Genomic DNA, 23,072 nt, shown 5'->3' on the forward strand with positions numbered 1-23,072 from the left:
TGGTATTTTTGGAGATTTAGGCCTTTTAAGAAAAGGAGTTGAAAGTTGGGGAAATGGAGATATATTTACAGATGATAGATCCTTTATGTATTAAGTTAGATAAACATGTTTTAGAAAACATCCCTCCTCTTTGGAGTCAGGAAGAACTGGTCCATTTCTCACAACCTCATTGGCCACAGCCAACAGACACTCAGAACACTGTCCGGGGTGAACAGTGGATCTGAGTCACATCAGTAACTCATGTGTTGACAATCAGCTCCACTGTCCTCTCAGAGGCCTCTGCATTTATTCACTGTCCTTACCTACAGCCATTGTTACCCAAAGCTGACAAGAGCCACTGTGTACATTTTAGCCTTAACTACTCATTTAGGTTCAGTTCAGCCAGGTCTGTCTTAGTTAACACACACTCCATCTGTAGGGTAACCACTAAATGAACTTAAACTTTGGGCAGTCACAAAGCTGACTCCCCTCATCTGACTCGCCGTGCCTGGTGGGCTGTCAGAGCATTGGCTGCAATGGGATTGATAATTTACCCTTTGCCTGCCCTTATTTTTTCCACCCAACCTGCAGGAGGTCTGGAAGTATCTAAGGCGAAGGATAGCCTGTGCTCACTCTCCACTTTCTCACAGCCCACTCACAAATCTAGTGGATGTGTTTGAGTCCTTTACCTAGACCCTATTTTGCTCTTTTATCTGGTTAAAGACGTGGTAAAGTTGAATACTAATACCACATCTTCTTCCTGGAGATTCCACCTCCCTTACCTTTATGACACCCATCAGTTTGCTAACTGGCTCTTTTCAACCTCTGTCTTAGGTGCCTCCTCCTCTATCCACTCCAGGTTCTACCTGTGGTCAGCCCGTCTTGCCACCATGAAAGTCTCATCCATGGCCACTGCTCTCACTGCTCAAGCCCTGAAAATTGTGGGCAGTCTTCCATCCACAGCTTCTCATTACTAATATTCTCATCACTAATGATTTAAACAAGGGCAGCTCCGCCATGACAGCCTCCCACTTCCCTTTTCCTTCTTTCATAATTTATCCTCCAGATACCGGGTTCTCATAATCTAATGCTAATGCTCTGACTCAGTTGATCTCAACCTTATGAGTGTGAAAATTTAAAATACTGACGCCTAGCCTACAGCATCAGAGATTCTAAGTTAGGCGGTCCCGAGTGGAGCAAGGGCATCAGTGTTTTTACTGTACTATTTTTCCACTATTATTGACATAAATGTTGCTCTTTTGTCTGAGAAGTTGCTTTTTCATAGACCTTCTCAAAAGCTGAGACTTAGGTGTTATTATCCCTGTGTTTCCAGGGTTCCAGGCCCTGCAGCAGGAGCTCAATATTTGTTCATTGTCTTAAGTAAGGTATCCATACAACTGGGTTTGCCCAGGACAGACCCAATTTGGGTCTGTGTTCCATCCAGTTAGCTACCCTGACCCTTTCATTCTCAAAGATGTCCCATTTTGTACAAGAAATCATGTAATCCCCTTAACCATAATGGTACCTAAAGATGTGAAAATTGGTGTTATGGGCTGAATGGTGCCCCCCCACCACCAACACACACACCGAAAATTCATATATTGATAGCCCTAACGCCCAGTACCTGACTTTATTTGGAGACAGGGCCTCTAAAGAGGTGATTAAGTTAAAATGAAGCTCTAATTCAATCTGACTGGTGTCCTCATAGGAAGAGGAAATTTGGACACACAAAGTGACACCACGGCTACAGATGCATAAAGGAAAAACCATGTGAAGACATCTTGAGAAGACGATCACCTGCAAGCCAATGAGAGAGGCCTCAGAAGAAACGAAACTTGTCAGCACCTTGATTTTGGACTTCCAACCTCCAGAGCAGTGAGAAAATAAATTTCTGTTGTTTAAGCCAGCCAATCTGTGGTATTCTGTTATGGCACCAGCTTTAGCGAACTAATACACGTAATAAAATGTAAAGAAAACAAAACCAATGTAAATAACATTTTCTAAGTTCCATCTAAATAAAGTTTTCCAGCCTTCCAAGATGAATGCTTACACCACTTTTTTAGAAACCCGCTGTCTTGAGTTTAGATCTTTTGATTTCTTCAACTGTACTGTAAAAGGTTTTCCTTAATGTCTTCACAGGATGTGTTTAGCTTTCATACATTCTGAGTCTATAAGACCATTCCCAGATGAAACACTGAGACGGTGACAATAAATGTTGTATGTGGTTACAATGGGTAAAGCATAGTTTCTGTCCTTAAGGAACCATGCCGTGATCTAGCATGGTGTGTGTGTGTCTCATCTCCACACAGCAAGTTACCAGCAAAGTGACTTTTATGAGGACTCAGAGCAGGAGCACTAAGCCAGACTGGAGGAGGGTTTAGAATAGGTTCCTTGGTGAGGGGACAGCCAAACTGATTTTTAATGGGTGCAGAGGAATACATCTAGTGAAAGGAGGTAGACGGACAGGTATTCCTTGCAGAGAAAAAGACTTAAAAAAAAAAAAAAAGAGAGAGAGGTGAAAAGGTAACAATGTTCTTTCTAGTGCTTTTAAAACCACTCCCACCTGGATTTTAAGTTCAATCATTTTTCTCTGTCCACAGAGGTCACAGATAGCATAACTACTATCCTTCATATTTTTTACCCTTTAAATATTTAAGCACTTACAGTTACAAATTCTGCCCTTTCAGCTTTTCTTTCTTCAGGTTAAGCAACTTCAGTTTCTCCAGGCTATTCTCCAAACTTTTAAACCAATTTGAGGCACTGCCACCCACTACTTAACCAGTGTACACACATACATGCACACATGCACACACATGCGCTCACATATAGCTGTGCACAGGCCAAGAGGGCCTGCAATTCACCAAATGTCTCTTAAATTTAAGAGGCTATATCAGTGATGTTCTCTCACAAAATACAAATTAAGGTGACATCTATCACATAGCTATGTGAACCGTAAAATCATCAGTGTATTTCCTTTACTACATAGAAAGCAAAAGACCGACACCAATGGTCATTCTGAGGGAAGACTCTATACTCTGAAAGAAAGTGTTTTCTTCTCCATTGCTGACAACTGAGTTAATAATTTTGCCATGTGTAGGTGTTGGGAAACATCACAGAACTGAAATAGATCAACCCCACTCATATGGGATGCATTTCTACCAGGAAACACTACGGTTCTTTTAATCCTACATCAAGTCATAAATACAACAGACCTTGTTTTCCACACAGATTCCTATTTCTTTCACACCCAAGCATATGCTAAGAGCTCTCAAGCAACACTCTTCCTCCATCTCTGGGAGACGTCTTAAAACATTTTTAGCTTACCAAACACAAAACGGAGGAGGATCTGTTTCTTTACTCAAGGATAATCATCTTCAACTGCTTATTTATACTGCAGATAGAAACCTATAGATTGAAATGAGCATATTTTCATTCTAAAGTTGGCATCTGTGCTGCCATAGTTGAGATGCAACAATCGTGTTTGAAAATCAATCGTCCAGGAAACCCCACGTTGCTTCGCAATGTTCAAGCCAAGTGCTCATTGGAATTAGAAGGTGAGTAGCACTAAAGAAATGAGAAAGAACACTAGTCTGCTGAAATAATGGGACCATATGTAGGCAGAAAATACCAAAAATGAGAGTAAAATGTTGTGGCTAAAAAGTAATGTCTTATGACATGTAAGTAAAGGATCAATCTCCTTTGAAGAACCCACTAAGAAATGATTGATTAAAAGTCTAGAATTGTGCTGTGTAATAGAGTAGCAACTAACCGTACTTGGCTATTTAAATTAATTAAATAAAATTAGAAATTCTGTTCTTGATTTGCACTAGCCATGTTTTAAGAGCTCAGTAGTCACATGTGGCTAGTTGTTGCCACATTGGGCAGCATGAATAGAAGAAATCCTCATCATTACAGAAAGTTCTACTGGCAGCGCTGGTCTAGAGAGATCTGCTTGACTACCGGGTTAGCATTGTGTTAAGCATCAGACCCCGAAGAGATCATGGAAAGAACAGCATGCTCGCCAAGTGTAATGATTAATCCATGGCAGGAAAAAAAAATGTGGTGGAAAGAAAAAAAAATTCCACTCCTGGAATGGGCTAATATGATGTAGTATTGACATTTGTGTTATAAGAAATAGACAAGTAAGGAAAGTTTTGAGCTGAAATGGAAAGGAGCTAATAAATCATACGATTTGAATATCTCACCACTCCCTTATGAACATTCATAAAGCATTGATTTGGAAGAAAATATCCATGAAAAGTCTCTCTTCATCTGTTAGTGGCTGATTGTATTTTATTGGTCATTCCTCAAATACTATTCAACCATGACTTACTTCCTACCCCCAATGTTTTTCTGTTATAACATTTTTGATCATGCATTTAAATAAATATACCCCCCATCAAAAAGTGCAGACTCTTCCCATTTTACAAAAAAAGGCAAGAACTTTATTTTAAACAAATCCTTAGTTGTGTGTTACACCATGTCCATATCTAAATCAAAAATGATAATGATAATTCAAAGGGAACAAAGGGCTTCATAAAAGCACATTACCCAGATGTTTCTCTTGGCCAATATTTTAACTAAATACACAGTGGATATGAAAGGTACAGTATGGCACTTAAATAAATAAGAGCAAAAAGAAGAAAACATATTGACAGTCCAATGCAATAGGTTTTTGAACCTTTGGTATATGTCTCAAATAAGTCACCGTAAACACACGTTAGCCAATAGTGTTTAGTTGCAGGTCTTTTAAGCCAGTAATTTTGTATGTGTGTCTGTATATGTGTGTGTGTTTCAAAGAGTAACTGAAAAAATAATAAATCAGGATTGACATGGGATGATTAAGGTCTCTGGTGTAAGCACACAGGTAAATTCAAATCATGGCAAAATGACCGTGCAGCTGTGTTGCACAACAAAACTATGTAAGAAAATGAGTGAGATACACCAGTTACAAATGCTGTGGCTCAGCTAGACACTCTTGATATTAGCCAAAAAAAATCTTTTTAATGTTAACCAAAGTCCACAAGCTGGAAGGCAGAAATATCCTGAAGCTCGTAACCGTGTGCCTAACTGTGCAACAACAATCTCACAAAAGTGTTGTAGTTGCATATTGCAATTCCCTCCCTCCCACCCATCCCCCATCCCTAGTAAACAGCACCAGTGCAGTTTGAGTTAGAAAACTGGAAATATTGAGACATTCCTAAGGTTTTCATCACGACTAAGGGCCAGTCAGATGGGGCTCTAATGAAAACCTCTGCCATGGCCGTTCTCCAATAAGCACCCCATGTAATTCCCTCTAAGTTTGCAAATAAAACATATTAGGTCTAATGTAAGGCCAGATTCTGGAAAAAAAAAAAAAAAAAAAAAAAAAGCTGGCATGCTATTTTGGATTGAGGGAAAGGGGCATGCTGGTGGGGGAGATACATGAAGAGTGCCTCAAGGATGTTTGTCCCATGGCTCAGGATAAAGGGATGGGTTGAGATAGGTCACAAATTTTATATCAATGAAGTACTCAACTCACACCATTCACCAGAATAAAGAGCTCAGCAGGGCTAAGTCCTACTTGGTAGCTGTGCAAGTTCAGTGTTATCAGGATCAGGCTAGGCCATAAACAGAAAGGGACCAAAGAAGTCTAATTGATCCATTTCATCACTCTACCCAATCGTCTCTGTAGAACCAATTAGGTGATATGTGAAAATGGGTCCACTTTTCCTCCTTTCCCATTGGTGCAAAATCTTCTTTTATCCAGTCTTATCCTACATCTTAATGGTGAGGGTCACATAAATGAGGGTGGATACAGCCACGTCTGAGCAGTCATCTGCCTTGGGGCTCCTTGCCATCCCCCAGACCTTCATGAAACCTGCCCTCTCACACATAGGCAGAGTCACTGGACTGAGTCCTGCCAAAATTGGGAACACTGACCCTTGGCAGGTCCTTGTTACGAATCTCATAGATTGACTTTCTCTTGGCCTGAGCCCCTCGCACAGCCAGCTTGATCTTGCGCCATCCCAGGTGGTTGAGTTCAGCCAGGTTGAGCACAACACAGATGCCACTTACAGCAAACATGAACACTAGAAAGACAGTCTTCTCAGTTGGCCGGGACACATAACATTCCACCTCCTTGATGCAGGGGTAGCGGTTACACTCATACAACCCTGGGACACTAAAGCCATAGAGAAAATATTGGCCAACCAGGAACCCAATTTCCAGGGCATTTCGGAACACCACTTGGATAATGTAGAAGCGGGAGATGCCTTCCTGCCTTCTGAGCTTGGATTTTGATGCAGTGCGTAGACCTGATGGGTGTGGAGTCAGCTCCTTAACCTCTAAACAATCTGGCTCTGTCTCCTTACTGGTGTTCTCTGTGTTCTGCAGCACCCCATTCACAATAGCATTTTGCAACTTCTTATCTTCTCGTTTGCCCCCACCACTGCCCCCACCCCCAGTTCCTCCAGGACCTCCTATGGACTCAGGGGGGTCTCTGTCCAGGGCTAGGAAGACTGTAGAGTAGCGGCGTTCTCGCTGCTTGGCGGACTGGTGCACAGAGTAGGTGATGAAGCAAAGACTGGGGGTACACACCATTATGATCTGGAAGACCCAGTAACGTATGTGGGAGATGGGGAAGGCGCGGTCATAGCAGGCCTGGTTACAGCCGGGCTGCAGGGTGTTGCACACAAACATGGTCTGCTCATCATCGTACACCGTCTCCCCCACAATGGCCACAATGAGGATCCGGAAGATCACCACCACAGTCAACAGGATCCTGAACGGAGGAAGAGGGAGGGAGAGAGGTTCTCACGGGCTGCGTCACTGACAGGAAACCCCTGCTCCTCCCTTCCCTTTGCTGGTGTTTACCAGTCTTTTGACTGGGGAGCTGTCCATCCCGGGCTGGTACTGAACTAGGAATCTGGGAAAGCTTTTTGTCTCTTCCTTTTCTGCTGAGTGCTGGTAGGCTGGGAATATTTCATATTATAGAGATCCCAGGTACACACATCTCCATACACTGGACATAGTCTACTTGCAACAGATAGATTTCATCTCTCTATATAGAATGTATAGAAACACAAAACACACCTTCACTCTGGATATGGCAAATGCACACAGAATACCTTTACAGATGGTGCATGCTTCGAGGTCTACACACAGGGTGTGTAAATAACTACTCCATGTGTATATTTAGTTTATTCTCAACATGAATATTAAATTTAATGCTTTATATAAGCAGATGGCTATGAATATATATTCATATATATTGAACTCATATATATATAAAGCTAGGTAGATAGAGACATAGATATAGATACAGACCCAAAAATGGCAATTGGGTGTGTAGGCTCGGTAAGTTTACACCGCCAAATAAGTTTGGTTTAGTAATTATTTGTTGAGAAAAGAGGCATCTGCTCTGAAGAGCAAATCCATCTCCCCATTTGCCCTTTTCTGTCCAAATGCAATCCTGCCTTCTTTGTAGATTCTATTTAGGGAACCAAATGGAGATTGGCTCTGACTCTGGAGAGTGGAGGGACCAAGACTGAGCCAGCGGCTCCTTTTCTGATGTGGGAAGAGTGAAGCCCCAGTGGTGCTTGATGGGGAAGGGATGGGCAGCTGGTTAGGAGTAGCTAGAGGAGGGGGGCATCGCGGGGCGTCGGGTAATCCCTCATCGCCGGGAACACCGGAGCCTTGACCTAGGACGATGGGGAGGAGGCAGAGGACGGACTGGGGATTGGAGCGGGAGACTCAGTCCAGGTGTGAGAAGGGACTCCCGGGGGCCGCCCGACGGGGCCCCCTGACCGCCGGCTTGGCGCCCTTACCTCCCGATCATAGTGGAGTGCTGCTGCACCGCGGCTTCTAGCAGCCTCTCCAAGATGGTCCATTCCCCCATCGCTGTGCATCCGGAGGCAGCAGACAAAGACTGGGCAGCACCGGGCACGTTCCCGCTCCTGGCCCCTCCCCGGGCCGCACTTCCAGAATGGGAGTGAATTGCCTCCCAATTAAAGAAGCAATTTTTTAAAAAATCCTCGAATCCCCCTTTCCTTTTATTGTACTTAAAAGAGAAGAAATGGGGAAAGAAATCCAAGCGCGTCCCGACCGATGGGGCAGTTGGCGCGGTCTAGAGAGAGGGCACGAACCTCGGGCGCCGTCCGGGGTTCGGGTCTGGATCCCGCGGACGCCGGGACGAGGGGCGGGGCGGGGTGGCAGCCTGCAGGTCCTCCAGCGCTCGCCCGCCCAGGAGAAGTCTCAGCGCCGCTCTCCGCCGCAGGTTGGGGGCCAGGGGAGGGTCCGAACACCGGCTCTGTTCCTGCTACTTCAGCGGGCACCTGGCGCTCCGGCGCGGCAGCCTGCGAGGCCAGGGCCGAGCGCGCGGAGCCGAATGCTGGGCTCGGGGATCCGCGGCCGCCGCCTCTAATCCGCCCTTAAGTAGTCTCCGCCTGCGTCACGCCAGGTCGGCGGAGGGGAGCAGAGCGCGCCGTGCGGCTGTCGCTGCGCGTCGGAGCCCGAGGGGCCGGGGACGCGCGCGGGGGGAGAGGGGCAAGAGTCCTGGAGGCCCGGCGGGGAGCGGGGCGATTTCGAAAGGAAGGACTGCAGCGCCCCTCGGGGCTTCTCGGGGAGCCCAGGTAACCTCACCTGACCGCCAGACCCAAGCAGGCGGAGGGGGAGCCGGGAGCGGACGCGTGGGTGAGTGGGGAGGGGAGTGAGTAGGTATCTTCTCTTCTCTCGGTGCATCCCTCACCTTTTCGCTTTTTGCCTCCTGGAGACAACTGAAATTCCTTCCCTAGATGGAGATGCTGGCTGAGGGAGGGCGAGTGGGGGCGACCACTTTTAAATCTCCCTTAGGGGACAGAGTGGCTGAGAGTGCTTCTGCAGAGTGGCTGCGGTTCGGTGCCTCTGTGGATCCGACAGTGAAGTGAGAAAGGCTTGATGGGAATCCATTTAGGCTGAAGGGTAAATGCAGGTGTGGAGCTGTCTCTCGGTATAGGGGTCAGGGCACACGAGCGCATCTAACAGGTGCCTCGCAAAGAGCAAGTGGGGTGGCCATGGTTAAAGGTCTCGCTTCCCCTTGCACTAACCCAGATGCTCGGCTCTTTTTAAATTATTGCTATTATTTTACTAATGGGAAGGGGGGGCGGGGTACTCGTCAGGTAAACTGTGATTTAATCTGAATTTAAGACCCAGTATTCTGCTAGCAGAAACAGAGCCACTCACAGCCTCGCCCTGCCCCCACTTGCCTTACTGGGTTTGGCTTTCTCCCCTCAACCAGCAGATCCCGGTTTTTAAAATTCACATTGTGTTGTCAGTTCTGTCTAGAGCAACTACTTAATTGGTTGCTGAAAAATTGAAACAACCTCACTAAGCTGCTAATTAGCCCAGGGGTCAGTATTAGGAGACACTGTAGCTGGCAGTGTTTGATGTAAATGTACCAAAAGTCCAATGGGAAAGTAATTGTCATCCTTTCGAAAACACGACCTTGAAAGGGTTGCTAACTTGTCCTAGGCATATAAAGGGACCTAGCCTTAATTATCCACAGGGATCATAGCACATATGTATATTACATAAGCCACACCATGGTGAGCCTTCACTTCTGGAACAACCGAGGTGGTTGGGTAGTTGGTGGCCCAGGGACTGGGAAGAAAGGTGCAGGGCATGGCCCTCAGTCCACTCACAGTGTACTTCTTCATAAAATGATGTTTAAACACACGGTCTAAGCTTCGCCGCCAGAAAGATCACTGAAATCCTCTGCTAGGGTTGACATCTTTACCCCAAGAAAGCAGCCTTTCACTGCAAAGGAGTAAAAGAGTCCACTAACAATGGAGAGAGGGATAAAGTGATTTATTAGTTTCCTTCTGAACACGGAGGAGGTTCAAGGGTGAGGACGAATGGATACCCTATTATCCAGTTAGCTTCCAGATGGAATGGTGATCCCCTAACCCAAACTTGGTGTGTTTTCCCAGGTTTCCCTTCTACTCCCCTTGGCCCTAGGTCCCTGTATTCCCTCCTTGTCTGGCAGACTCTCTTATAGTAAATGATCTTAGCCAAGAAGTGAATGAGTAAGTCCAAAGGGAAATCTGTTTAACATCTTTAAATGTCCCAAAATAGGCTGCACAACTCAAAATTGTCATTTTATGTGTTGGCTTTCCCAAACCGTTAAAGATTATGATCCTAAGAACATAGACTGCAGGAAATGCAATTATCAGACACTACGCTATGACTGAATTGTTGATCATTTGTGTATTATTTTGAAATATACTTTAATATGCCATATAGATTCCACATATAAACATGTGCAAACAACATAGGTGTATAAGTGCACAAAGACGCATATATATAGAACCTATATTTTAAAACTCATCAGTTGGACTGTGTAGGCTACTTTTAAATAAAAATCTTAGTCTCACCACCACACTTCAGAAATAACCATTTTTATTTTTAATAACCACTCATAAATTTCACACTTACTACATTGTACTTCCTCCTTCAAGTCCAGTCAACTCCATTTTCAATTAATAATTTGTTCCGATAAACAAATGTGCATTAAATGTGAAATGGTTCTCTGTGGATCCGGGCATCTCTCAGTTTCCTCAGGGCATTGTATCTTCTTGATAGATTCTGATTATCTCAACTCTCCTCTGATTGAAAACCCCCGTTTAAGGCAGCTGGGAAGTTCTTTCCATTACATCTTATTTAAAAGCCATTCTGTTTATTAAAATAATAGTTTTGGATGAGAAACAATGAAATTCGTAGAATGCTCATAGAATAACCTTTGCTGCACAACAGACTGTCTGGGGATCTTCATTAAAAAGACAGATGCTGCGATCCCATCCCAATTCTGCTAAATTGAAATCTATGGAAACAAGATTGAGGTAGCTGTGTTATTAACGGGTTCTCATCCACAGCTCCAATAACAATAAAAACCTGAGAACTTTTAGTTCCATGACTATTAGGGCAGGAGTGAATCCTAGGGATGAGGAAATCTATCATCCATTTGTTTCATAGTGTTAAAACTGACCCAAAGCTTAGCTAGCTTGCCTAAAATCATATGGGTAGCAAAGGAAAAGCTATGAAGAATGTGGTATTCAGAATCCTAGAGAAGATCAAAATTATTTAAAAGTATGAAAAAAATGTGATATTTGAAGAAGAAAAGGGGAATTAAAGTGGGAACATGCTCACCTCCAGACATTTAGAGGAAAAAAATACCTAGATTGTTGATCTGCAAATCTATGTCTTACCAAATAGTATTTTCCATTAACAGAGCAGGGAAATATTATCCACATCTAGTGGGAAAAACTGCAAAGGCATGGAGCAAAGGGTGTTGTTGAATGTTATAATACAGGAGAGAATGTAGAGCTACTAACAATGATTCCATTTACTACATAGGGGTGTCTGAATTTGTTCTTATCCTTATATGTGCTCAAAATTTCATTCTCTTCTCAACCACAGACTCCCAGGTGAACCTTTCAGCCTTGCAGCTTCAAATGTTTTGTAAATGAAACCTCATAGGAGCTTTGTATATGTTGTAAGAATGAACATTAATCTACTGACCTCTATTCTACTGGACTGTAAATTCCTAGAGATCAGAGAGCATGCTCATATGTCATGGTTCTTTTCATAGCGTCTTTAAACTCAAGCATTTGTTGAAAGTGAAGGTCAGCTATTCTGGCTCTCTATTCCCCTCAGCCTAGCAGAACTGCACTTTTCCTGAGGAGAAGTGGGTCCTGGGTGTCCTCCACAATCACAAGTAATATTCAAGTCAGAAAGGAGAAAGGGGCTCCCTTTGCGAAGTGAAAGTTCCTACACACTTAGGATAGCCTGGACCCCTCAGTAGAAAGCCTTCTTACTAACCACCAGCCCCCTGCCCTCACTTCCATTATTCTCTCAATACTGCAGTCCAGACACCCGCTGAACTGACCGGGGGAATGCAGCTGAGCAGGTAAGGCTTGGGCTGCAGCATCAGAGAGGCAACCCCAGCTAGCTGAGCTCAGTCCTGGATTGGGAAGGACCAGCATCTGTAGCCTCCTGAAATTTGTGTGGCATGGGAGGGACTGCATTCGATTTGGAATTGATCTCTGTGTTGAACTCTCCTACATTTCATTCACAAATAGCTAGGATTAACTGAGCTTTATCTCTCCCAGTGGCCTACGTGCATCTGTTTCCTAATGAAACCATCAACTTGTCTTCTTAAGGGGCAACCCCAACCTGTCTTGGGAGACTCAAAAGAACCTAAGTGGCAGATGGAATCTATTTTTATTTGCTGCAAAGTGGTTTTTCTCTTTTTTTCTTTCATGTGTCCTTCCCTATGTATAAGCCTCAGTTCAAATGTTTAGGAAAACACTTGATTTTGCTGTTCAGACAAAATTTATGAAGTAATGTTTCCAAAGAGAGTAAAGCTGTCCGATGTACCAATCTTAAGTAGCCCTAAATATAGTGGCTTGCTTTGTGGTCTAAGATTCTCCAGAATCTGCTATCTTCAAAATTATTTTGCCATCTCATGGACCCAAATGCCAAATCATGTCTTAGGCCCAAGAGATTATGTATCCAAATGGTAAGGAAATCTAAAGTCTTCTGCCTGCTAGTTCTTTGAATAAAAGAGTATATAGCCTTTAAAAAAATTACATATACAAATTCCCCCATTCCCCGACTACCTCGTATATAGAGAATATACCTATGTGTAATAATATCTCAGGGATTAATGTAATATGGTATTGTGGCCAAAGCAGATGTGTGAAATCACAGCAAATAAATTAACACTGCATTAAGAATCAAATCATTCCTGCTGACACATAATCTTTCACTTTTATATCAAGTCGTGATTCCCATTCACATCAGGAGCTTCCCAGGGGGGCTCATTAAACCTGCACAAAGAGATTTCTTTGAAGTCAGTGCTATTCCCATGAATAGCATTCAGCTACAGTGCAGAAGAGCCTGCCCGCCTGGTGTCTAGGCACCCTTCCCTTCACTCTCATTGTTGCTGTCCAGCCAGAGGCCCAGCAAGGCAGGCTATAGCAGGGCTTCCTGCTGAGTGCCTTTCTAGTCTGTATGAAAGAGATGAGGAAATTGCAGGGGAAATGCACATCGGTAGGACCTGCCCTTGACAGAATTGTTAAGCTGGGAGAATATATTTCTTTTCCCACATGTGCCCTTCTGCTCTTCTTCCACATCAGAGTGTACTGCTACAAGAGCTAAAAGTTGGTTCCATCCCGGTGCCAAGATTATTAAGAGGAATTGGTATTCATCCCAAAAGAACCTTCTCTAAGATCTGAAGCTTACATTCAAGGTTCCTTCTTGCGCTCATAATTGTACGTGGACTCCCCTGGTTGCCTGATATCTTGACTTCCTGAAATTCAGCTAATTTCTGTTTTTGCTGGGACTCTGGGGGCTCAGGCATTACTCAGCACAGAGGCTTTTGTATTTTTCTAGTTCTTGTCAACTACTTGCCTTCTGATCAACTCTTAGGCACCAACATTCAAATCTAGCGTGAAGAGCCTCTTGTTTCTGCAGCTGAGGTGAGGCTGGAAAGGAGCTACCACTCACTTATTGCTCATCTCATGCTCAGCCAAGGGTTTGTCACGAGCATGGACTCCAACTTGCCCATGTGGTCTGGCTCAGTCATCTCTGACCTTCAGATTCTCACACTGTCTCTTTTTGGTATATACTCATCATTCCACCTTGACTATAGACTGCCTTGGTCAACTCTTTCCTGGAACTTACCTTGAATTCATATCCTATTGACCTTAGAGCCTCCCACCATTGTGCTTCATGCAGTCCCTGCATGTCACTCCACCACCATAAAGGAAAGTAATCCGATAAACGAGCGCACACCAGAGTGTTAATAACCGATAACCACTTAATGTATTATCCTTCTCAGAAGAATTATCCTCATTTAAGTTGCAAAGCCTTCATCCAAAGAAATGAAATTTCCTAGGTAGTTTTCCAAACACTATGCATAAGGAGAGAATAGCTGTTTGGGGGCAAGGGTGTAGTGTTATGAGCCCTCCCAAATGACACCACACAAGCACTTGCTTCTTTTATTGATCGACAAAGTGCTCCTACTTGTGGAAATACAGAAATTACACAAATGTAATGATTCTTAAACTTTACTACACCATAGAATCACATGGGGAGCTTTGAAAAATCCCAGTGCCTAAGCTGTACCCCGACCAATTAACTCAGCATTTCTGGAGGTGAGATCTATGCTTTAATATATATTTTTAAAACTCTCCAGGTGATTTCAATAGGCAGTCACGTTTGAGCACTAATACAATAATATATGCTACCAACTACTCAGGCATAACAGCCTTGCAGGGCTTTTTCCTCATGCTGGGGATGGTGCTTCTGGACACAAAGTCAAAATTTCATTCTGAAAATGTGTTCATGTGGTTCTGTATGTACTTAATATAATCCATACAGGCTAAGTAGTTAGTTGCTAAACTGCAAACACCCATCTCGTTTCATCTCAGTCTACTCCTGGCCATCTGGTCCTCTGTATTCCCATTATAGGGCCATGTGTGTATTAATGAAATGATTGCATCCGATTACATCTTTTATTCAGAACACAAGAAGAACGGTCCATGGATTTTGTGCTTCAGCATCACTGTTTCTCTCATGATGTCAATAATTACATTTTTCTATTTTATGCAGAAGTGGGATGGTCTTCCATTAAGGTAAGAGTATAGATCAAATGTGTTATTGCTTACAATACAATTTCAGTACTGCTGTCTGGGGTCTATAGAACAGATATTTCAATCAAAAGCATAGAATTTCCTGAGCCAGATACTTGTTAGTGGCCTCCATTTTAAAATGTCTGTTGTATAGTTCATGATAATGACCAAGTTGTGACAACTGATACAGAGGAGGAATCCACTAAGAGTTGAGCTGGTCACTTTTTTCTCTAATTTTGCTAAACTTTGTCTCTACAACAGGTCAGATGATCAGAAAGCTACATGTCTAGACTGGTATTAATCTGTCATTGCTTGGTGGTAGAGCGAATGGTGTGGGGGAAGGACTAACTTCTTAACCCAAATACTTTCCACAGCCTTTTGTGTTATTGTTGCAACCAAGGCAATTCTCTTCCTAAGGAAAATTATAGTGCCAGCTGTTCAAATAAAAACAAATTTTCCTTCTTGTGACACTTGAATGAACAAATATGAATAAAAAATGGATGAATGAGTTAATAGCATGGTATTCTCTCTTTATCTACTGGTCACATTATCTCTTACACCTCTACCTTTCTGGAGTACACATCTAAAAACCGATAGATGTGCATGGATATCTACTGTGTGTGCACATGCACCGCTGCAACCAAATTCTTCCAGCCCATTAATATTTAATCTTTACAGATACAGAATCTTAGCCCTCTCATTCATTCATTTGTTGAATGAAGATTTATTCTTTGCTTACTATGTGCCAGGGAGATATAGCAGTAAACGAAACAACATGGTCCCTGACCTCATGGAGTTTAAAATCTAGCAAGAGAGGCATAGACTATTTAATCAAACATTAATTAACCAAGTAATCTAAAGTACTAAAGTGTAATTTTAAAACTGTGGTAAGTAACTACTGTAGATAGCTCTGAGATGTGCAGCCCTGAGTACAGAATGGGGCAGGGAGGGGCTGACCTACTTTCTGGGGAAGGGTTAGGGACTGAAAGGGAATCTTCAGCTGAGCTCTAAAGGAAGAGGAAGCCAGATGAAAGAGGTGGAAGAAGAGCTTTCTGAGCGGGAGGAACAGCAGTAAACAGGCCCTGTGGTAGGAAAGAGTCGCACATTCAAAGAACTGCAAGGTCTCTCTGACTGGTCCACACCAAAGGAGAAAGAAGTTTGAGACAAGGCTGGAGAGACAGGCAGGGCCATATAGGCTAGGATAGAGTTGTTAGCATTTTCCCTAAGAGTAATGTGCAGTATTTGAAGGCATGTAAGAGGAAAGTGACATGATATTTGTTTCTTAAAGTTCAATCTATTTGCATTACAGTTAGAATAGATTGGAGGAGGTTGGCAAGAGTGCATGCAAGAAAACTAGTGACAATACTAACATTGCTGATTGGTTATACTCAAGTTCAAGCACACCTCAGAGATAGTTTGTGTCCAGAGCACTGCAATAAAGCAAATAGCACAATAAAGTGAGTCACATAAATTTTTGGTTTTCCGATGCATATAAACGTTATGTTTAGGCTGGACACGGTGGCTCACTCCTGTAATCCTAGTGCTTTAGGGGGCGAGACCGGAGAATTGCTTGAGCCCAGGAATTTGAGACCAGCTTGGGCAACACTGGGAGACCCTGTCGCTACAAAAAATTTAAAAATACCTGGGCATGGTGGCGCTTGCCTATATTCCCAGCTACTCAGGAGGCTGAGGTGGGAGCATCACTTGAGACCCAGAGTTTGAGGCTGCAGTGTGCCATGATCATATCACTGGACTCCATCCTGGACAACAGAGTGACACCCTGTCTCAAAAACAAAACAAAATAAAACAAGACAAACAAAAAATAACGTTATGTTTACACTATATTGTAGTCTCTTAAGTGTGCAATAACATTGTGTCTAAAAAATAATGGATATTTCTTAATTCAAAAATTCTTTATTGCTAAAAATGCTAATGATCATCCAAGCTTTCGGCCAGTCATAATTTTTCTGCTGGTAGAGGATCTTGCCTCGATGTTGATGGCTACTTACTGATCAAGGTGGTGGTTGCCAAAGGTTGGGAAGGCTGTGGTAATTTTTTTAAATAAGACAAAAGGCCAGGCTTGGGGTGGCTCACATCTGTAATCCCAGCACTTTGGGAGACCGAGGTGGGAGGATCACCTGAGGTCAGGAGTTTGACACCAGCCTGGCCAATATGGAAAAACCATGTCTCTACTAAAAATATAAAAATTAGCCAGGTATGGTGGCTCACACCTGTAATCCCATCTGCTGGGGAGGCTGAGGCAGGAGAATCACTTGAACCTGGGAGGCAGAGGTTGCAGTGAGCCGAGATCACACCACCGCACTCCAGCCTGGGTGACAGAGTGAGACTCCATCTCAAAAACAAAAAACAAACAAACAAACAAACAAAAAGCGATGTTTGCTGCATCTATTAACTTTTCATTTCACAAAAGATTTATCTATGACGTGCAATACTGATAGCATTTTACCCACAATAGAACATCTTTCAAAATTGAAGTCAACCCTCTCAAACCCTGCCACTACTTTATCAACTAAGCTTACGTCGTAGTCTAAATTCTTTGTTGTCATTTCAACAATGTTCACAGCATCTTTACCAGGAGTAGATTCCATCTCAAGAAACTGCTTTCTTTGTTCATTCTTAAGAAGCAACTCCACATCTTTTCAAATTGTATCATGTAATTGCTTCAATTCAGTTGCATCTTTAGGCTCCACTTCTAATTCTAGTTCTCTTCTATTTCTACCACATCTGCAGTTAATTTCTCCACTGAAGTATTGAACTCCTTGAAGTCATTTATGAGGGTTGAGGTCAACTTTTCCTAAACTCCTGTTCATGTTAAAATTTTGACCACCTCCCATGAATCACAAATGTTCTCAATGGCATCTAGAATGATGAATCCATTGCAGAAAGGTTTTCAATTTACTTTGTCCAGATCCATCAGAGGAATCACTGTCTAAGACAGCTATTGTCCTATGAAATGTATTTCTTACATAGTATGACTTCAAAGTCAAAATTATTCTTTGATTCACGGGGTACAGAATGGATGTTGTGTTAGCAGACATGAAAACATTAGTCTCCTTGTACATCTCTATCAGAGGTCTTGGGTGACTACACACATGTCAATGAGCAGTAATATTTTGAGAGGTATTAGTTTTATTTGTTGTTGTTGTTTTTGTTAGATCTACTGATCTCAACAGTGGGCTTGAAATTTTCAGCAAACCATGCTATAAACTGATGTTTGGTCATCCAGGCTTTGTTGTTCCATTTACAGAGCATAAGCAGAGTAAATTTATCGTAATTCTTAGTGGGCCTAGAATTGTTGGAATGATAAATAAGCATTGGTTTCAATTTAAAGTCACCAGCTACATTAGGCCTTAACAAGATAGTCTGTCCTTTGAAGCCTTGAAGCTAGGCACTGACTTCTCTCTAGCTATAAAAGTCCTACATGGCATCTTCTTCCAATAGAAGGCTGTTTTGTCTGCATTTAAAATCTGTGGTTTAGTGTAGCTACCTTCATCAAAGATCTTAACTAGATCTTCTGGATAATGTGCTGCAGCTTCTACATCAACACTTTCTGCTTCACCTTGCACTTTTATGTTATGGAAATCGTTTCTTTTCTTAAATGTAATGAACCAACCCTCTGCTGGCTTCTAACTTTTCTTCTGCAGCTTTCTCACCTCTCTTAGCCTTCATAGAATTGAAAAGAGTTAGGGCCTTGCTCTAGATTAGGTTTTGGCTTAAAAGAATGTTGTGGTTTGATATTCTATAAAGACCACTAAAAGTTGCTTCATATTAGCTATAAGGCCATTTTACTTTCTTATCGTTCTTATGTTCCCTGGAATAGCACTTATAATTTCCCTCAAGAACTTTTTTTTTTTTGTGGAGGGGACAGAATCTCGGTCTGTCGCCCAGGCTGGAGTGCAGTGGTGCGATCTCGGCTCACTGCAACCTCCGCCTCCTGGGTTCAAGCGATTCTCCTGCCTCCACCTCCCGAGTAGTTGGGACTACAGGCGTGTGCCACCACACCTGGCTAATTTTTTGTATTTTTATTAGAAACGGGGTTTCACCATTTTAGCCAGGATGGTCTCGATCTCCTGACCTCATGATCCGCCCGCCTCGGCCTCCCAAAGTGCTAGGATTACAGACGTGAGCCACCGCGCCCGGCCCCAAGAACTTTTTCCTTGCATTCACAACCTGGTTGTTTGGAGCAAGAGGCCTAACTTTTGGCCTGTCTCAGCTTTCAACGTGCCTTCCTCACTAAGCTTAATTATTTCTAGCTTTTGATTTAAAGTGAGAGATGTATGACTCGTCCTTTCACTTGAACACTTAAAGGCCACTGTAGGATTATTAACTGACCGAATTTCAATATTCTTGTATCTCAGGGAATAGAAGGCCCAAAGAGAAGGAGAGAGATGAGGGAAGGGTCAGTTAGTGGAGCAGTCAGAACACACATGTTTATAGATTACGTTCACATGTGGGCATGTGTGGGCATAGTTCATGGTGCCCCAAAACAATTGTAATAGTAACATCAAAGATGATGGATCGTGGATCACCATAACATATGCTAATAATGAAAACATTTGAAATAATTATGCAAATTACCAAAATGTAATATAGAGACACGAAGTGTGCACATGCTGTTGGAAATATGACACCACTAGACTTGCTTGATGCAGGGTTGCCGCAAACCTTCAAGCACAGTGTATTAAGCACAGTGTTTGCAATGTGCAATAAAATAAGGTATGCATGTAACACCCATATGCACTTAGCTTCCTTCCCTTGAGGACTAGAAACACCTCGAGGATTTAGCCTTGTCTGCTGCCAGGTAAATGAGAGATGACTCCTCAGAGCCATCGTCAAGCATTGTCATTATGTAGGAAATAAATAGGCCCTGATTATAATGGTCAACATAAAGACCTTTATGATTAGTTGAATCTTAAATGGCAATTACTAATTGCAATGCCTTTTTCAAACATGTTTTTCTCTGGGTGCAGTAAATACATTGTGGAAGGCAGTCCCCTGGTATCTAGCAATTTTAACGAGGCAGTAAGAGTGGGCTCCCCAGTTAGGGAGGCCAGGACTTCTGTGCACCCTTTTTTTTTTCCTTAGAAACCCAGGTTTTGCCTGAGCTCTACAGTTCAGTCATGGCCAGGGCCAAGTCTAGGTAGAAGGTGGGGTTTGTTGGAGGATAAAGATCATTTTGAGACATTAATGTCTGAGAATTTCCAGAGATTTTGGTCATTCCTTTTGAGTAAAATTACTTATAGATGACACAATCATCAAATAAGACTAAGGAGATCAATACTGCTATTTATAAACAAATCGTGAACAGAACAAAATAAAAGCCGTCTTCTTAAGAATATATAGATTTTCTCCAGATTTGGTGCGATAACTCAAACAATTTCTGAGACTTGAAACTGTCTTCAGGGCCCCTTGTTAGTACGTAAGAAAATCCTAATTACTTGAAAAATCACACCTAATTTTTTTACTGTAAGTTGTGCCAGCTTCGTTATCCAATTACTTTTTATTATTGGATTCTGAAAATATATATTTTAATGAGTCTGATTTGAAAGAAGGAGACAAAATGTTTTGCCCCTGTATCATGTAGAATTTCTCGCCAACTCTGAGCTGGGATTCAGGTTCTCCAACTTACAAGTTGAGAGGTTTTCTTGTGTTGACCACTAAATAGCCAGTGACTTTCGGTTATTTACAAAATCAAATTCCCCTTCAAATAATGAGTTTGCCTTTACTGAGGATATTTATAAACATGTTTGCCAGCTCCAGAAAGAACAGCGGATGAGTTCCTAAAATGTTCTATGCAGAGGCAGCATGCTGTAATATGTACATGACCTTCCAAATGGTACTCAAGAGGGGCTGCTTTGAAGTGTGTGGTTATGCACACCATCAAGCTTTATACATGTTGATGAGATGGGGCGGGAGTCCATGCAGGCTTTTTTGATGAATGGACAGATCATACAGGATAGGTTTACCTTTCATTCAAAGTGTGTTTCCTAAGAATAGTATTACTAACAATATCACCACCTTATGTTTGCTTCATACCTTAGTATCTTAGCATTTCCAGAGCACTTTTTTCCCCTGGAAAAACTTATTTAATTATTGATGTGTTATTTCTTTTTTTTTTTTTTGAGACGGAGTCTCGCTCTGTCGCCCAGGCCGGACTGCGGACTGCAGTGGCGCAATCTCAGCTCACTGCAAGCTCTGCTTCCCGGGTTCACGCCATTCTCCTGCCTCAGCCTCCCCAGTAGCTGGGACTACAGGCGCCCGCCACCGCGCCCGGCTAATTTTTTGTATTTTTAGTAGAGACGGGGTTTCACCTTGTTAGCCAGGATGGTCTCGATCTCCTGACCTCATGATCCACCCGCCTCGGCCTCCCAAAGTGCTGGGATTACAGGCGTGAGCCACCGCGCCTGGCCTTGATGTGTTATTTCTATAAGAATATCTTATTTTATTTAGAAGATCTTGGAACTATGTTCTAAAGTATGATACATAATTGATATTTATCATTTAGTACAGTCTTTAAAACTTCAAGAAACCTGTATGAGAAAAATAAATTACCTAAAGCAAAAAGTTTAGATACCTGTGTGCTAAATGTAACAGATATTTAATAGGTTTAATCTATGCGAAGAAGACAGGTTTTGTTTGTTTGTTTGTCCCTCTCTTCCATATAATTTTATACATCTTGACAACTACTGGAGAAATAAATACTCAAGCTACTACTAGTTAAATGCATAAACTGCAAGAACTACTGCAATCTCTCTGAGGGTCATTCAATGCCTATTAATCCAGAGCACTTTTTAAAGCACTAATATCATGTCTAATCTCCCTAACAATCCTTGAGTATGAAACATAGGTCATCAACAAACTGGACACTGGTGCCCAGTTATCTATCTGCAGCCCAGAACTCTGCCGAGCTCCACACGATTGCCCCACAGATGCCTAGAAGCCAAAATATTGATAACAGGACTCAATATTTTCTTCCACAATTCTCTCCTATTCTGTCATCCCCCAGATCCGTTTTCTGCCATTCTCAGCCCTGCTCTGTGTCCTGGGAGGCTGACCTTTACAGACTGCAACTTTGGGTTTGCGTTTGAATTTGGCTAAGTGGAAGTCCTGGCAGAAGATTGACAGGTGAAAGAGGTGCAAGGTCAGGCATTTACTCCTCCCTGTTTCTTGAAGTTCTGGCTCCATCTCTTTGTGATTAGTTTCAGTTTCTTCCATGGGCCCCAGGTCTCACAGCATTCAGGTAATTCTATTTCTTTCCCTTGTCCCTGTGAACCTTTGGGTAGTAAAACTTCCTACTGTTGCTAGACCTTGGGTATCTCAGTATTCTTTGTTGGTTCCCTTAAACCTGCCCACACATCTATAGAAAGTTCCTTGATTGAAAAGTTTCTTCAAAAATCACAGCTGAGTGAGTCATATGTTCCCTGCTGGAACTCTAACTGATATACACCCATCCTTATTTAGTTTATTTTTATGCCAGCCTGATTGCACAAAATATAACCTAATTGCTCAAGCTAGAAATCTGGAGGTCCACTCCTACTTCCTCACCCATATATGAAGTCTTTATGACCTGTTTATCCCCTAAATATCTCTAAAAGCATTCTCATTGCTCTCTTCTCTTATAACTTATTTGGCCCAAGCCTTTCAAAATAGCCTCCCTATTTATCTTCTAAACATCCTTCATACTGCTAATGGAATGTTCTTTCTATAATGAAATCTGGCCAACTTATTTGCATTTCATCAGTGGTTCCTACAGCCTTCTGGAAAGGTCAGACTCATTAGCAAGCCAATAAAGAAAGTTGCTGAAGATCTGGCCTGTACCTATCTTTCCAGCCTGATTACCTGTCCTCTTGCCACATACTCCTTACATTCCAGCCGTAGGGGTCTTTTTGCAGTTCCCCCAAAAACATGCTATTCCCTCTGCAAGGAATGCCCCTTCCTCACCTTTCCCACGGGCTGGCTCCAGTTCATTGACCTCAAGCTTCCTCTCCTGCTGTAGCCTCAGAAGGGAGCTATGGCATGAATTAGGGCAACTTTGGACAAAATGGTGCTGCAGATAGGCTGTCCCTGCTCTCACAAGCTCCAGACCAGTTCTTGTCAGGGGAATTTGGGCAGAAATCTTAGCAGGAACTAAGCACCTCTGTGGCACTCTCAAATCCAACTGCCTGTCTTCATCTCTGTCACTGCCCTCATTCAGGTCACTTCTCCTTTCTTCCCTGAATAATTCATTTGCCTCCCCAGAGGCCTCCCTGCTCCCATTGACACTCCTGTGCACCCTTTGTGCTGCAGAGTGATTGACCTGCATTGAAAGTCCAGTCCTTCCTCTCCTATTTATGGTTCACCATTAATATAAAACTTTCCATGTCTTTAGCAGTTTGGCCTTACATAAACTGGCTCTTGTTTCTCTCTTCAGTTTCATCTTTT

At 42.7% G+C, this 23,072-nt stretch overlaps 1 protein-coding gene and 1 long non-coding RNA gene across 3 annotated transcripts in view; one reads left to right on the forward strand and one right to left on the reverse strand.

Moving 5' to 3' along the window:
- Positions 1-4,401: 4,401 nt before the first annotated feature.
- Positions 4,402-8,368, reverse strand: GJD2 (gap junction protein delta 2). 2 transcript variants are annotated; one of them, XM_017022438.2, is made up of 2 exons: positions 8,106-8,368; positions 4,402-6,742 (listed from the first exon to the last, which is right to left on the reverse strand). In XM_017022438.2, exon 2 carries the CDS (start codon positions 6,658-6,660, stop codon positions 5,848-5,850), a length of 813 nt encoding a protein of 270 aa, XP_016877927.1. In that variant the 5' UTR covers positions 6,661-6,742; positions 8,106-8,368; the 3' UTR covers positions 4,402-5,847. The 2 variants fall into 2 exon arrangements, with proteins under 2 accessions (XP_016877927.1, NP_065711.1); NM_020660.3 differs by having other exon boundaries at positions 7,788-8,368.
- Positions 8,369-8,453: 85 nt separating this feature from the next.
- The window catches only part of GJD2-DT (GJD2 divergent transcript), a 57,840-nt gene continuing 43,221 nt past the window's right edge, over positions 8,454-23,072 (forward strand). The window contains exon 1 of the long non-coding RNA NR_120329.1: positions 8,454-8,591. This is a non-coding gene — a long non-coding RNA (GJD2 divergent transcript). The remainder of the gene's footprint in view (positions 8,592-23,072) is intronic.

This window comes from Homo sapiens, chromosome 15 (genome assembly GCF_000001405.40).
Source record: "Homo sapiens chromosome 15, GRCh38.p14 Primary Assembly".
NCBI classification, from domain to species: Eukaryota; Metazoa; Chordata; class Mammalia; order Primates; family Hominidae; genus Homo; species Homo sapiens.

Coding starts and splice junctions, on each gene's coding strand:
- GJD2 (NM_020660.3), bottom strand. CDS start 7,858: ATGGGGGAATGGACCATCTTGGAGAGGCTGCTAGAAGCCGCGGTGCAG. Junction 6,743..7,787: donor CACTCCACTATGATCGGGAG/GTAAGGGCGCCA, acceptor TCCTCCGTTCAG/GATCCTGTTGACTGTGGTGG.